At 43.9% G+C, this 16137-nt stretch overlaps 1 protein-coding gene across 15 annotated transcripts in view; it reads right to left on the reverse strand.

Annotated features, from left to right (window-relative positions):
- Positions 1-16137, reverse strand: part of ZCCHC10 (zinc finger CCHC-type containing 10) — a 29565-nt gene that overhangs the window by 10057 nt on the left and 3371 nt on the right. For 4 of the 15 annotated variants that reach the window (NM_001300818.3, NM_001300817.3, NM_001300816.3 and 1 more), the window contains exon 2: positions 15800-15865. The exons of 7 other annotated variants lie outside the window; for them this stretch is intronic. In NM_001300818.3, the coding sequence (NP_001287747.1) occupies positions 15800-15865 (66 nt within the window). Of the gene's footprint in view, positions 1-4297; positions 4415-15769; positions 15866-16137 lie in introns of all 15 variants that reach the window. 4 more of the 15 variants (XM_011543502.2, NM_001308127.2, XM_011543503.3 and 1 more) reach the window with 2 other exon arrangements.

Consider the following 16137-nt stretch of genomic DNA (forward strand, 5'->3'; position numbering starts at 1 on the left):
CAACATTTTACCCTTGTGAGATTTAATACAACAAAGTATAATAAGTGTAATGACATGGTTTGGCTGTGTCCCCATCTAAATCTCATCTTGAATTCCCACATGTTGTGGGAGAAACCTGGTGGGAGGTAACTTAATCATAGGGGCAAGTCTTTCCTGTGCTGTTCTTGTGATAGTGAATAAATCTCACAAGATCTGATGGTTTTAAAAATAGGAGTTTCCGGCTGGGTGTGGTGGCTCACACCTATAATCCCAGCACTTTGGGAGGCTAAGGCAGGCGGATTACGAGGTCAGGAGATTGAGACCATCCTGGCTAACATGGTGAAACCCCATCTCCACTAAAAATACAAAAAAATTAGCCAAGCGTGGTGGTGGGCGCCTGTAGTCCCAGCTACTCAGGAGGCTGAGGCAGGAGAATGGTATGAACCCGGGAGGCAGAGCTTGCAGTGAGCCAAGGTTGCACCACTGCACTCCAGCCTGGGCAACAGAGCGAGACTCCGTCTCACAAAAAAAAAAAAAAACAAAAAACCACAGGAGTTTCCCTGCACAGTCTCTCTCTCTTTTCTTGCTGCCGTCCATGTAAGATGTGACTTGTTCCTCCTTGCCTTCTGCCATGATTGTGAGGCCTCCCCAGACATGCTGAACTGTGATTCCAATAAACTTTTTTGTTGTGTAAATTGCCCAGTCTTGGGTATGTCTTTATCAGCAGTGTGAAAATGGATTAATACATATAATAAATGGTTAAAAGCATAGACCTTGAAGTTAAGATACAGTTGAATTCAAATCTTGGCTCCTCAATTCTGTTCCAGTTATGTGAGACTAGGGCATTCAGACTACTTTCCAGCTCAGAACTAGAAAAGACCGTCAAAACATTTTTAACAAGCTTCTTTAAGAATCGGAAAATCAGCCAGGTGTGGTGGCTCACACCTGTAATCCCAGCACTTTGGGAGGCTAAGGCAGGCGGATCACGAGGTCAGGAGATCGAGACCATCCTGGCTAACACGGTGAAACCCTGTCTCTACTAAAAATATAAAAAATTAGCCGGGCGTGGTGGTGGGTGCCTGTAGTCCCAGCTACTGGGGAGACTGAGGCAGGAGAATGGTGTGAACCTGGGAGGCAAAGCTTGCAGTGAGCCGAGATTGCGCCACTGCACTCCAGTCTGGGTGACAGAGTGAGACTCTGTCTCAAAAAAAAAAAAAAAAAAAGAATCAGAAAATCAGGCCGGGAGCAGTGGCTCACGCCTGTAATCCCAGCACTTTGGGAGGCTGAGGCAGGTGGATCAGGAGGTCAGGAGTTTGAGACCAGCCTGGCCAACATGGTGAAACCCTGTCTCTACTAAAAATACAAAAATTAGCTGGGCGTGGTGGTGGGCACCTGTAATCCCAGCTACATGGGAGGCTGAGGCAGGAGAATCATTTGAACCTGGGAGGCGGAGGTTGCAGTGAGCCGAGATTGCGCCATCGTACTCCAGCCTGGGCAACAGGGTGAGACTCCATCTCAAAAAAAAAAAAAAAAAATCAGAGAATCAACAAGGGGGTCAAGCTGACCAGCTGAAATGGCTCAGGTCTGTAATCCCAGCATTTTGGGAGGCCACGGTGGAAAGATTGCTTGAGGCCAGGAATTTGAGACCAGCCAGGCAGGACAACACAGCAAGACTCAATCTCTACAACAAATTTTGAAAAATTAGCCAGGGCCAGGCCTGGTGGTTCACGCTTGTAATCCCAGCACTTTGGGAGGCCAAGGGAGGCAGATAACTTGAGCTCAGAAGTTTGAGACTAGCCTGGGCAACATGGTGAAACCCTGTCTCTAAAAAAAACTACAAAAATTAGCCGCGTGTGGTGGCAAACAGCTGTAGTCCCAGCTACTTGGGAAGCTGAGATAGGAGGTGCAATTGAGCCCAGGAGTTTGAGGCTACAGTAAGCTATGATTGCACCACTGCACTTCAACTTGGGTGACAGAGGGAGATTCTCTTTTTTTTTTTTTTTAAAGATGAAGTCTCACTCTGTTGCCCAGGCCAAGAGTGCAGTGGCACGATCTCGGCTCACCACAAGCCTCCCAGGTTCAAGCAATTCTCCTGCCTCAGCCTCCTGAGTAGTTGAGACTACAGGCATGCACTATCACGCCCGGCTAATTTTTGTATTTTTTGTAGAGGTGGGGTTTTGCCATGTTGGCCAGGCTGGTCTCAAACTCCTGGCCTCAAGTGATCCACCTACTTCGGCCTCCCAAAGTGCTGGGATTACGGGCATGAGCCACTGCACCCTGCCTGATTCTGTCTCTTAAAAAAAACCAAAAAAGATGGCCAGGTGCGGTGGCTCATTCCCATAATCCCAGCACTTTGTGGGGCTGAGGTGGGCGGATTGCTTGAGGTCAGAAATTCGAGACCAGCGTGGCCAACATGGTGAAACCCGTCTCTACTAAAACAAAAATTGCCAGGCTTGGTGGCACACACCTGTAATCTCAGCTACTCAGGAAGCTGAGGCAGGAGAATTGTTTGAACTTAAGGAGGCAGAGGTTGCGGTGAGCTGAGATCATGCCACTGCACTCTGGCCTGGGCGACAGAGTAAGACTCCGTCTCAAAAAAAAAAAAAAAAAAAAGAATAATCAAAACAAGATATGGAAGAAGATAGAAATCTAGAATTAAGTCAACTTTTGTGCTGGGTGTGTCTGTCCATCGCAACAGGGTAAGCATCACATATTACAAGCTAGGGAGATAAACTCTGTGTCAGAGTTAAGACGAAGGGCTATACCCTACAAATAAACCCAAGTTCTTAGAAACTTCAGCCAACTTCTAGTTACCTAGAAGACTGAGAAAAATCCAGTCCCTGAAATTGGACTGAGATACAGCCAAGGAAGAAAAAGAAGTAAAAGAATTGAAAAGGAAGAAATAAACCTGTCATTTCTTATCGATAAAGTGTTAGGTACACTGTAAATCCTAATGAATCTACAGATAAAATATTTTGAAATAATTAGAATTAAGTGAGTTTAGCAAGGTTTTAAATTTGGGTCAGCAATTTTTTTTTTTTTTTTGGAGATGAAGTCTTGCTCTGTCGCCCAGGCTAGAGTGTAGTGGCACGATCTTGGCTTACTGCAGCCTCTGCCCCCCAGGTTCAAGCAATTTTCCTGCCTCAGCTTCGGGAGTAGCTGGGACTACAGGCACACACCACCACGCACGGCTAATTTTTTTTATTTTAGTAGAGACGGGGTTTCACCGTATTATCCTGGCTGGTCTCGAACTCCTAGGCTCAGGCAATCCACTTGCCTCAGCCTCACAAAGTGCTAGGATTACAGGTGTGAGCCACCGTGCCCAGTACAGGTCAGCAAATTTTTCTGTAAAGGGTCAGGTAGTAAATATTATAGGCTTTGTGGAACAAGAGGCAAAACTGTGGATGTTATATAGGTACTCATATAACATGAGAGAAAACAAATTTCCATATTTTGTGGATGAAATGAAGGCTCATATATAAACAACATTCTTAGCTTATGAGCCTCCAAAAACAGGTAGCAGGCAGGATTCAGTGACCATGGTTTGTGGAACCTTATATTAGCTATAGAGACACCATATAAAGACGAATTGAGTTTCTATATAACAAAAAACAGTTTTCGTATTTTGTTTGTAGAGATGAGGTCTCCTTATGTTGCCCAGGCTAGTTTCAAATTCCTGAGCTCAAGTGATCCTCGCACCTTGGCCTCCCAAAGTGCTGCGATTACAGGCATGAATCACTGCACCCAGCCACAAAAACAGTTTAAAAGGAACTTTTTTTTTTCTTTTTGAGATGGAGTTTTGCTCTTGTTGCCCAGGCTGGAGTGCAATGGCGCAATCTCAGGTCACTGCAACATCCACCTCCCGGATTCAAGCGATTCTCCTGCCTCAGCCTCCCAAGTAGCTGGGATTACAGGCGCCTGCCACCACACCCAGCTAGTTTTTGTATTTTTAGTAGAGATGGGGTTTCACTATGTTGGTCAGGCTGGTCTTGAACTCCAGACCTCAAGTGATCCACCCACCTTGGCCTCCCAAAGTGTTGGGATTACAGGTGTGAGCCACCGCACCTGGCTAAAAGGAACTTTTTAATTTAAAAATATTTTTTTTTTCTTTTTTAGAGAAGAGGTCTCACTAAGTTGCCCCGGCTGGTCTTGAACTCCTGGGCTCAAGCAATCCTCCTGCTTTGGCCTCCCAGATTACAGACATGAGCCACTGCATAAGTGAACATTTTAAAAAGATAATATTTATAATAATCCTAAAAACTACCAAATACCTAGAAAACAGAGAAAAGAAGTGTGAGACTTTTATGCAAAAACAAACCTTAGGCCAGGCATGGTGGCTCACACCTGTAATCCCAACACTTTGGGAGGCCAAGGCAGGTGGATCACAAGGTCAGGAATTCAGGACCATCCTGGCCACGATGATGAAACCCCATCTCTAATAAAAATACAAAAAAATTTAGCTGCGTGCAGTGGTAGACACCTGTAATCCTAGCTACTCGGGAGGCTGAGGCAGGAGAATTGCTTGAACCTGGGCAGCAGAGGATGCAGTGAGCCAAGATCATACCACTGCACTCCAGCCTGGGCAATACAGTGAGACTCCATCTAAAAAAAAAAAAAAAAAAAAAAAACCTGACTGAGATAAATTAAATACCAATAAAAGTAGCTAAACAAATAGAGAGATATACCATGTTCATAGACTGGAAGGTTCAGTATTATAAAATGTCAGTTCTCCCCAAATTCCTGTATAGATTCAAAGCAATTCCAATAAAAATCCCAAAAGTTTTTTTGGGTGCAGAACTTAACAAGCTCATTCTAAAATATGTACACAGCCAGGCTTGATGGCTCTCTCTTGTAATCCCAGCGCTCTGGGAGGCCAAGGTAGGCAGATCATTTGAGGTCAGAAGTTCGAGACCAGTGTGGGCAACATGGTGAAAGCCCATCTCCACCAAAAAAAATTTCTAAAACATTATCTGAGCATGGTGGCAGGCACCTGTAGTCCCCAGCTACTTGGGAGGCTGAGGCAGGAGAATTGCTCAAACCTGGGAGGCAGAGGTTGCAGTGAACCAAGATCATGCCACTGCACCCTAGCCTGAGCGACAGAGTGAGCCTCCATCTCAAAAAAAAAAAAAAAAAAAGAAAGAAAGAAAGAAAAAAAGAAAAAAGTGGGCCAGGCTCAGTGGCTCACGCCTGTAATCCCAGCACCTTGGAAGGTTGAGGCAGGCGAATCACCTGAGGCCAGGAGTTCGAGACCAGCCTGGCCAACACAGTGAAACCCCATCTTTACTAAAAATATAAAAATTAGCCGGGTGTGGTGGTGCATGCCTGTAATCCCAGCTACTTGGGAGGCTGAGGCAGGAGAATTTCTTGAACTCAGGAGGCAGAGGTTGCAGTGAGTCAAGATCACACAACTGCACTCCAGCCTAGGCAACAGAGTGAGACTCCATCTCAAAGAAAAAAAAAAAGTGTACAGAAATTCAAAAGGCCAGTAACAGACAAAATGCCCTTGTAAAAGAACAAGTAGGGAAGATTTTAATTAAAAAAAAAAGAAAGATGGATAACAGAAAAATAAGATGAAGTAGAATATGAAAAGATAGTACAAAAATGGGACTAGGGGCCGGTCACAGTGGCTCATGCCTATAATCCCAGCACTTTGGGAGGCCAAGGTGGGTAGATCACTTGAGGTCAGGAGTCCAAGACCAGCCTGGACAACATGGTGAAACCTCATTTCTACTAAAAATACAAAAAATAGGCCGGGTGTGGTGGCTCACGCCTGTAATCCCAGCACTTTGGGAGGCCGAGGTGGGCGGATTACAAGGTCAGGAGATGGAGACCATCCTGGCTAACACGGTGAAACCCCGTCTCTATTAAAAATACAAAAAAATTAGCCGGGCGCAGTGGCGGGTGCCTGTAGTCCCAGCTACTCAGGAGGCTGAGGCAGGAGAATGGCGTGAACCTGGGAGGCGGAGCTTGCAGTGAGCCCAGATAGCGCCACTGCACTCCAGCCTGGGTGACAGAGGGAGACTCCGTCTCAAAAAAAAATTAAAAAAAAAAAAAAATAATAAATAAATAAAAATAAAAATACAAAAAATTAGCTGGGCATGGCAACGCACACCTGTGGTCCCAGCTACTTGGGAGGCTGAGGCAGGAGAATTGCTTGAACCCGAGAGGCACAGATTGCAGTGAGCCGAGATAGCACTGCTGCACTCCAGCCTGGGCGACAGAGTGAGACTCCATCTCCAAGAAAAAAAAAAAAAAAAGGGACTAGGAAACACAAATTAACAATAAACATATGAAAAAGTATTCATTAGTAATCAAAGAAAAGCAAATTAAAACCCCAACAAAACACCACTACACAACTCCCAGAAAGACTAAAAATAAAAACTAGTAATAGCAAATGTTAGCAAAGATATGTAGCAAAAGAGGCCAGGCGTGGTGGCTCACACCTGTAATCCTGGCACTTTGGAAGGCTGAGGCGGGCAGATCACGAGGTCAGGAGTTCGAGACCAGCCTGGACAACATAGTGAAACCTCGTCTCTACTAAAAATACAAAAATTAGCTGGGCATGGTGGTGCGCGCCTGTAGTCCCACCTACTTGGGAGGCTGAGGCAGGAGAATCGCTTGAACCCAGGTGGCGGATGCTGTGGCCAGCCAAGATTGCGCCACTGCATTCCAGCCTGGGCAACAAAGCAAGACTCCATCTCAAACAATATATATATATGTAGGAAAAGAAACATCCATCCACTATTGATAAGAATACAAATTGGTACAACTATTTTGGGAAAAAAAAAAGCCTCAAAAACAACCATTTACTATAGTTGAAAAGATATGCTTACTCTATGGCCCAGCAATTCTACTTGTATGCAATAGAAATCTATGCACAAGTATACCAAAAAATATTTACAATATTGCTTTTCCTTTATGTATTATAGCTTTTAAAAATTTTCAGTCACAACCTTACAGAAAAGTTCTAACTCTGTTTCAAATAATTATTTTTCCTGAATCATTTGTAAGCTGCCCACTTGATTCCTCATCAACCCAGAATATTTTCCTGCATATTTTCTGTAAACTAGAACTTTCTCCTATATATCAATCAAAATCAAGAAATTAATGTTGATACATTCCTACTATTTACTCTTTTTTTTTTTTTTTTTTTTTTGAGACGGAGTTTTGCTCTTGTTGCCCAGGCTGGAGTGCAATGGCGCGATTTCAGCTCGCTACAACCTCCGCCTCCCAGGTTCAAGCAATTCTCCTGCCTCAGCCTCCCCAGTAGCTGGGATTACAGGCATGTGCCACCACGCCTGGCTAATTTTTTTTTGTATTTTTAGTAAAGGGGGGGTTTCCTCCATGTTGGTCAGGCTGGTCTTGAACTCCTGACCTCAGATGATCCGCCCACCCCAGCCTCCCAAAGTGCTGGGATTACAGGCGTGAGCCACCGCGCCCAGACCTATTTATTCTTTAGACCACACCTAAGTTGCATCAAATGTCTTAACGTCCCGTATAGCAAATTCAGTTCAGCACCACAGTTGCACTTGTCACATTTCTTTAGTCTCCTTCAGTAGGGAAGAGTTCCTCAGTCACGTCTTGCTTTTCATGATCTTGACACTTTTAGAAGATTGCAAGCCAGGTATCTTCACAGTGTGCTTCAATTTGAGTTGGAAAATTTGCTTCCAAGCCCACTCATGTGGCTATTTGCAGAAGGCTTTAGTTCCTTGCCATGTTGGCCTTTCCACAGTGCTTACAACACAGCTTCGCCCAGAGTGAATGACCAAGACCATCAGTTTTGCTGTATTCTACTGATCACACAGACCAACCATGGTATAATGCGTGATTACACAAGGGTGTACCAGGAGACAGAGATCATCATAGTCCATCTTAGAGGCTGGCTATCACATCTGATATCTCTGAGTATCTTTGGCAGGAATAAAACAGAAGTGATGCTGTGTACTTCTCATTGTATCCTATCAGGTTAACATAAGATTTCAATTTGTTTTATTACTGATGATGTTCACTTTGATCCCTTGATTAAGGAGTGCCTACCAGACTTCGCCACTGTGAGGTTTTTTTTTTTTTTTTTTTGAGACTAAGTCTTGCTCTGTCACCCAGGCTGGAGTGCAGTGGCGTGATCTCAGCTCACTGCAGCCTCTGCCTCCTGGGCTCAAGAGATTCTCCTGCCTCAGCCTACTGAGTAGCTGGGATTACAGGTGCGCACCACCACACTCAGCTAATTTTTGTATTTTTAGCAGATACAGGGTTTCACCATGTTGGCCAGGATGGTCTCGAACTCCTAACCTCAAGTGATCTGGCTGACTTGGCCTCCCAAAGTGCTGGGATTACAGGCAGAAGCCACCGCGTTTGGCCTGTAAAGTTACTTTTCATCCTTTTGTAATTGTGGCAGTTTTAAAATATGTTCACAAATTTTGTGGAATTGTAATTCCCCTCTCCTTGGGTGTGGCTTGGACTTCACAACTTGCTTCCAACTAACAGAATGAAGCAAGGTGAGGGAGTGTGACTTTGAAGACTAGGTCAAGTAGCTGCCATGTCATGAAGTTACTCAAGCAGCCTCCACAATGACCCATGTGGCAAGGAACCTTACCCTGCTGTCAATAGCCATGTAAGTGAACCATCTTGGAAGCAGATTCCCAGTTCTGGTCAAGCCTTCAGATAACTGCTGCCCCTGCCAACATCCTGATCACAACCACATGGGAGAGACTGAGTCAGAACCACTCGCCTAGGTCACTCCTCAATTCCTGACCCAGGGAAACTGTGAATTGATATTTATTGTTATAAGCCACTAAATTTTAGGAGTAATCTGTTACACAGCAATTGATAACTAATAATTATTTTGTGGGCTAATACTTGAAAATCCATAAATATCCTACTCCTCATTAAATATTTAGTTCCTTTATTCATGAGTGTGGATTAATGTTTTTCCATTTTATTCAATGGGTTATAATCCATCACCATCTTTTAGTCTGAGGCTCAAATTGTCACAGTTTTGGTCAGTGGGAGCTCCTTCAAGCTGGATTATGTGTTCTTTTGACATGGCTCCTTTATTATTTGGGTATTTCCTTGATTTCTGGTACAACAACAAAAAAATATAGGCTCAGTTTGTATTTTCCCTGCTCCAGCCTGAAACCAGCCATTTCTCCAAGGTGATCTGATAATGTTTGGAGCCAACATGGGGGCACACACGTGCTTGCTGTTACTGGGACATTGCGCTCCAGTTAGTGTCAGTGGACAGAGCTAGGGAACACACACACCTACTCACCTGTCAAATATACATACTTACATCTATATTTAATATTTTGAAAACCATGATTTCACACTGATAATTTTAATTCTAACCCAATTTCACAGATTTTTAAAATTTTTCTCCGCTTGATCTTAGCCAAAAAGCTGAGAAGCAATTATTATTTATTTTTCTCTTTTTTTTTTATTCTGAGACGGAGTTTTGCGCCTGTGCCCAGGCTGGAGTGCAATGGCGCAATCTTGGCTCACTGCAACCTCCGCCTCCGGGGTTCAATCGATTCTCTTGCCTCAGCCTCCCAAGTAGCTGGGATTACAGGCGCCTGCCACCACACCCGGCTAATTTTTGTATTTTTAGTAGAGGTGGGGTTTCACCACATTGGCCAGGCTGGTCTTGAACTCCTGACCTCAGGTGATCTGCCCGCCTCAGCCTCCCAAAGTGCTGGGATTATAGGTGTGACCCACCGCGCACAGCTATTTTTCTCTTCTATACTTCCTTCTTCAGGAAGAAACCTGGCTCCCACTATCCTTAATAGATTACTTATTTGGTCAATTCCCCTTATGTAACCAATTGCCCATTGTTGCCACTGCTGCCTCCTCCCCCATATCCTCTTAACTTCACTTGGAATCTGCCCTGCACCCCCACCCACGACTCCCATTGCCAGGCAGGCCCCCCCCAGACACATTTCTCTTTATACACAGGCTCTGGTACCCTATACCAAATTATACCTACTCACATACCCTGTGTGGATATTCTCTCCATGAGGAAACAACTTTTGTTAAACTGCCTCGTGTGGATATTCTCTCCATGAGGAGACAACTTTTGTTAAACTGCCTCGTGTGGACACCTTTGACCCAGCTTGGGATCTGACACCCTGCATTGGACTTCCCCACTACTGGATGACCTCTGCAACCTGCTGACATCACAAGCCAGTTCAAGCTCCTCTGTAGGTGCTCTCCTGACCCCACATTCAGCTCTAATATTTCAAAGCCAAGTTGACCCTCTGCATAGACACCTAGTGTGCTCTATTCTACCCAATACCTTTAGGATTGCATTGTTCAGGAAGGGAAGAGGAAGAACTATAAAAATGTCCATAGCATGATTTTTTTTTTTCATTTTTGAGACAGTGTCTGACTCTGCTGCCCAGACTGGAGTGTGATGATGTGATCATGGCTCACTGCAACCTGAATCTCCTGAGCTCAAGCCATCCTTCCACCTCAGCCTCTCAAGCAGCTGGGACCACAGGTGCGCACCACCACACATGGCTAATATTTTTAGTTTTTGTAAAGATAGGGTCTCACTATGTTTCCTAGGCTGGTTTCAAACTCCTGGCCTCAAGCAATCTTCCCACCTCAGCATCCCAAAGTGCTGGGATTGTAGGCATGAGCCACTGTGCTTGGCAGCATGATTTGCAGTATTCTCAAAATTGGAAATAATATGAAAGTAGAACAGAAGTTTGTGGTACAGAATACAGAGGAATACTTCATGGTAATAACAAAGAATAAATTACAGCTTCATTTAACATAAGATATAAGATAGACTCAAAACAATCCAAATTGAACGATTGAACGATTCTATACAAAGTTTAAAGAGACAGCCAGGTGTGGTAGCTCACTCCTGTAATCCCAACACTTTAGGAGGCCAGGTGGGTGGATCACTTGAAGCCAGGAGTTCGAGACTAGCCTGGCCAACATGGCAAAACTCTGTCTCTACTAAAAATACAAAAAATTAGCTGGGTGTTGTGGCACATGCCTGTAGTCCCAACTGCGTGGGAGGCTGAGGCCTATGAATTGCTTGAAACCAGGAGGCGGAGGGTGCAGTGAGCCGAGATCGCACCACAGCACTCCAGTCTGGGCAACAAAGTGAGAATCTGTCTCAAAAAAAAAAAAAAAAAAGACAAAATTAAACTCTAGTGCACAGATAGTAAACAAACCAAGGCCAGGTGTGTTGGTTCACACCTGCAATCCCAGCACTTCTTTAATGTTTTAAAGAAATCTTTACTCTTTTACTACATAGCTATATGATCTTCAGCAAGCTGATTTTTTTTTTTTTTTAATTACAATAGAGAAAAGGTCTCACTATGTTGCCCAATCAGGTCTCAAACTCCTGGGCTGAAGCAATCCTCCCTCCTTGGCCTCTCTCTTTTTTTTGAGACGGAGTCTTCCTCTGTCGTCCAGGCTGGAGTACAGTGGCGCAATCTCGGTTCACTGCAACCTCCGCCTCCCAGGTTCAAACGATTCTCGTGCCTCAGCCTCCCAAGTAGCTAGGACTACAGGGTGTGCCACCCTGCCCTACTAATTTTTGTATTTTTAGTAGAGACAGGGTTTCGTCATGTTAACCAGGCTAGTCTTGAACTCCTGACCTCAGGTGATCCTTGGCCTCGGCCCACCTTGGCCTCCCAAAGTGCTGGGATTACAGGCGTGAGCCACCACGTCCAGCCTGCGCTGCATTTTTATGGGCAAGAATCTTCTGCAATACTGTAAGTTTCCTATGACTTAAAGATTTGAGAAACAGTGCAAAGACAATGAAAGAAGCAGGCCCTCATAGAGTCACATAGCCAGGAAGGTTGGACTAGACAGAGCACTCAGTAATCGTCTTTTCTTTCTGTCCATTTCAAAGCCTTTCACGATTTTCCCTAAAAATGAAAATATGTGAGGGTGTTGGCGGTGGGGGTCCATAGTCTTCTTTTCCAAGCTTATAGGTTGTTTTCTCCATATTGAGAAACTGGTAGCTTGGGACCCTAGTCATTAAAAATATCCACCAGACATTCTGGAGTTTGTTTTTTATTGTTATAAATACGACATTCACAAATATCATCTAAAGCTCAGGTATGAGGCTGGACGCAGTGGCTCACGCCTATAATCCTGGCACTTTGAGAGGCCAAGGCAGGATCACCCGAGCTCAGGAGTTTGAGACCAGCCTGGGCAACACTGTCTCTAAAAAAAAAAAACAGAGAGAGAAAACAAATGAAGCCCAGGTATGATTAACATATTTTATATGTATGTTTTAAACACTCACAACTCACAAATCACCCCTAAAAATACTAATTTTCCATAAAGATTGCTGAGTTAGACAAACAAAATTTCGAAACAAACAAGATTACCATTTCTTTCTACCCAAATGAATTATCTATTCAAACAATATTTCATTTCTATTTGCTAAGGTAAGGCTGAGGGATGTATTGTAACGGTACAGGCTTTTTACGTGAAATGACGTTCTTTGATACCAAAAATACTAGGACACACTTGCCATATTGGCAAAGTTGTTTTTTTAATGCCTATTGTTGGCAAAAGCAGGGAATAGCCACTCTGTAAATGGACACCGCTGGTAAGAATGTAAAGTGGCACAAATTTTTCAAAGGGCAACTTGTTAATATGCAACAAAAAAATTTTAAATGTGCATACCAGCTGGGTGCAGTGACTCAGACCTGTAATCCCAGCACTTTGGGAGGCGAAGGCGGGTGGATCACTTGAGGTCAGGAGTTCAAGACCAGCCTGGCCAACATGGTAAAACCCGTCTCTACTAAAAATAAAAAAATTAGCTGCGTGGGGTGGTGCATCTGTAGTCCTAGCTACTTGGGAGGCTGAGACAGGAGAATTGCTTGAATCCCAGAGGCAGAGGTTGCAGTGAGCTGAAATCGTGCCTCTGCACTCTAGCCTGGGTGACACAGTGAGACTCCAGCTCAAAAAAAAAAAAAAAGAAAAGTACATACCAAAAAGAGAACATAAAAGATGATCATTTATCTAGAAAATACCTAAGAATCCAAACAATAGAGCAACTAGGCCAGGCACAGTGGCTCATGCCTATAATCCCAGCACTTTGGGAAACAGAGGTGGGAGGATCATTTGAGCCCAGGAGTTCAAGACAAGCCTGGGCAACATAGTGACACCCTGCCTGTACAAAAAATAAAATTGTGGCCAGGAGCGGTGGTTCACACTTGTAATATCCCAGCACTTTGGAAGGCCAAGGCAGATCACTTGATACCAGGAGTTCAAGACCAGCCTGGCCAATACAGCAAAACCCCAACTCCACTGAAAATACAAAAATTAGCCTGTAATCCCAGCTACTTGGGAGGCTGAGGCATGAGAATCACTTGAGCCTGGGAGGCAGAGGCTGCAAGGAACCGAGATCACGCCACTGTACTCCAGCCTGGGCCACAGAGCAAGACTCTGTCTCAAAAAAATATAAATAAAAAAATAAAATAAAATTGCTGAATGTAGTGGGTTGCAGCTGTAGTCTCAGTTACTCAGGAGGCTGTGGTGGGAGAATCATTTGAGCCAGGAGTTCAAGGCTGCAACGAGATATGATCATACAACTACACGCTAGCCTGTCTGACAAAGCAAAAGCCTGTCTTTAAAAAAAAAAAAAAAAAAGAGCTATTAGAACTAATAAATTAGTAAGGTCAGAGGACATAAGATCATTAGACACAAGACTACCAGCAACAACTGAAACTAAAAATTTTTTTTTTTTTGAGACGGAGTCTCACTCTGTCACCCAGGCTGGAGTGCAGTGGTGCAATATTGGCTCACTGCAAGCTCCATCTCCCGGGTTCATGCCATTCTCCTGCCTCAGCCTCCCGAGTAGCTGGGACTACAAGCGCCCGCCACCATGCCCGGCTAATTTTTTGTATTTATTATTTTTTTTTTCTGAGACAAGTCTCGCTCTGTCGCCCAGGCTGGAGTGCAGTGGTGCAATCTCGGCTTACTGCAAGCTCTGCCTCTCGGCTTCACGCTATTCTCCTGCCTCAGCCTACTGAGTAGCTGGGACTACAGGCACCCGCCACCATGCCCGGCTAATTTTTTGTATTTTTAGTAGAGATGGGGTTTCACTGTGTTAGCCAGGATAGTCTTGATCTTTTGACCTCGTGATCCGCCCGCCTCGGCCTCCCAAAGTGCTGGATTACAGGCGTGAGCCACCGCGCACGGCCTAATTTTTGTATTTTTAGTAGAGACAGGGTTTCACCGTGTTAGCCAGGATGGTCTCGATCTCCTGACCTTGTGATCCGCCCACCTCAGCCTCCCAAAGTGCTGGGATTACAGGCGTGAGCTACTGCGCCCAGCCTTTTGAAACTAAAATTTTTAAAAAACACTATTACAATACTTAGGGACAAATCTGACAAAAGATGTGCAAGACCTCTGAAAACTACAAAACACTGCTAAGAGAAATTAAAGATGACCTAAATAAATGGCGAGATATACATAAGCACGGATCAGAAAACTCAATACTGTTAGGATGTCAATTCTCCATAGGTTGATCTGTACACTCAATGCAATCCCAGCTGAAATCGCAGCAGCTTTTGGTAAGCTAATTTAAAATTTATCTGGAAATACAATCTAAAATAGTCAAAATAACTCTGAAAAAGAGCAAAATCAGAGGACTAACACGTGGATTCAAGACTTATTATGAAGCTACAGTAATCATGACACTACCATAGACTTTATAAATACTGTACATTAGGCTGCCCTAAATTTATAATTTTTTTAAATTTCAATAATAAATTAATCTTAGCTTACTACAATTTTACTTTATAACTTTTTTTTTTTTGAAACAGAGTCTTGCTCTGTCACCCAGGCTGGAGTGCAATGGTGTGATCTCGGCTCACTGCAACCTCCGCCTCCCAGGTTATAGTGATTCTCCTGCCTCAGCCTCCCAAGTAGCTGGAATTACAGGTGCCCGCCACGACACCTGGCTAATTTTTTGTATTTTTAGTAGATATGGGGTTTCACCATGTTGATCAAGCTGGTCTTGAACTCTGGACCTCAGGTCATCCACCCACCATGGGCCACCCAAAGTGCTGGGATTACAGGCATGAGCCACCGCACCCGGCCTACTTTATAACTTATAAATGTTTAAAACTTTTTGACTCTTTTGTAATAACCATTAACACACAAACACATTTATAGCTGTACAAAAATTTTTTCTTTCTTTATATCTTCATTCTATAAGCTGTTTTCTATTAAAATTTATTTTTCTTTTTAAACTTTTTTGTAAAAAACTAAGACACACACACATTAGCCTAGGTCTACACAGGGTCAGGATCATCAAGATGTCACTAGGCAACAGAAATTTTTTTAGCTCCATTATAATCTTATGGGACAACCATAGAATTAATATATGGGATCTGTTATGTGGTGCATGACAATATAGAGAGAGATCCAGTTATGGCCTGCATGGTTTGGTATTGTTCAACTTTTTTTTTTTTTTTGAGACAGACTCTCGGTCTGTCGCCAGGCTGGACTGCAGTGGCGAGATCTCGGCTCACTGCAACCTCCGTCTCCCGGGTTCAAGCAATTCTCCTGCCTAGCCTCCCGAGTAGTTGGGACTACAGGCGCATGCCACCACATCCAGCTAATTTTTGTAATTTTTGTAGAGATGGGGTTTCAACATGTTGGCCAGGATGGTCTCGATCTCTTGACCTTGTGATCCACCTGCCTCAGCCTCCCAAAGTGCTGGGATTACAGGCATGAGCCACCACGCCCCGGCCTTGTTCAACATTTTTATAAATGCCTTGTATGAGGACACAAATGTACATATTTATCAAACCTGCAGTTGACACAAAGCTGAGAGGGATACCTAATAACGATGGATGGCTGAATCAGGATCCAAAAGGTCTTGACAGGCTGCAACTCTGTGTCGAATCTAACAAGATGAAATTTAACAAGGACAAAGGTAAGTCTGACACTTAAGTCCAGAAAATCAATACAAGGCAGGGGAGGTCTGACTTGATGACAATTCAGGTAGAAAACAAGGTTTTTTAACTGACTGAAATCATAGCAAGGTTCAAAAACAAGGGAGTAAGAAAGAAATGGGGTTTAACTTTATAAATATTATTGTTTTTCAGCTCAACATAAACTTTTAGATAGATTTGAAAACACAACAGGCCACTTCAGGAGGTAAGTACACATTACTGG

This window comes from Homo sapiens, chromosome 5 (assembly GCF_000001405.40).
Source record: "Homo sapiens chromosome 5, GRCh38.p14 Primary Assembly".
In the NCBI taxonomy this organism is placed as follows: domain Eukaryota; kingdom Metazoa; phylum Chordata; class Mammalia; order Primates; family Hominidae; genus Homo; species Homo sapiens.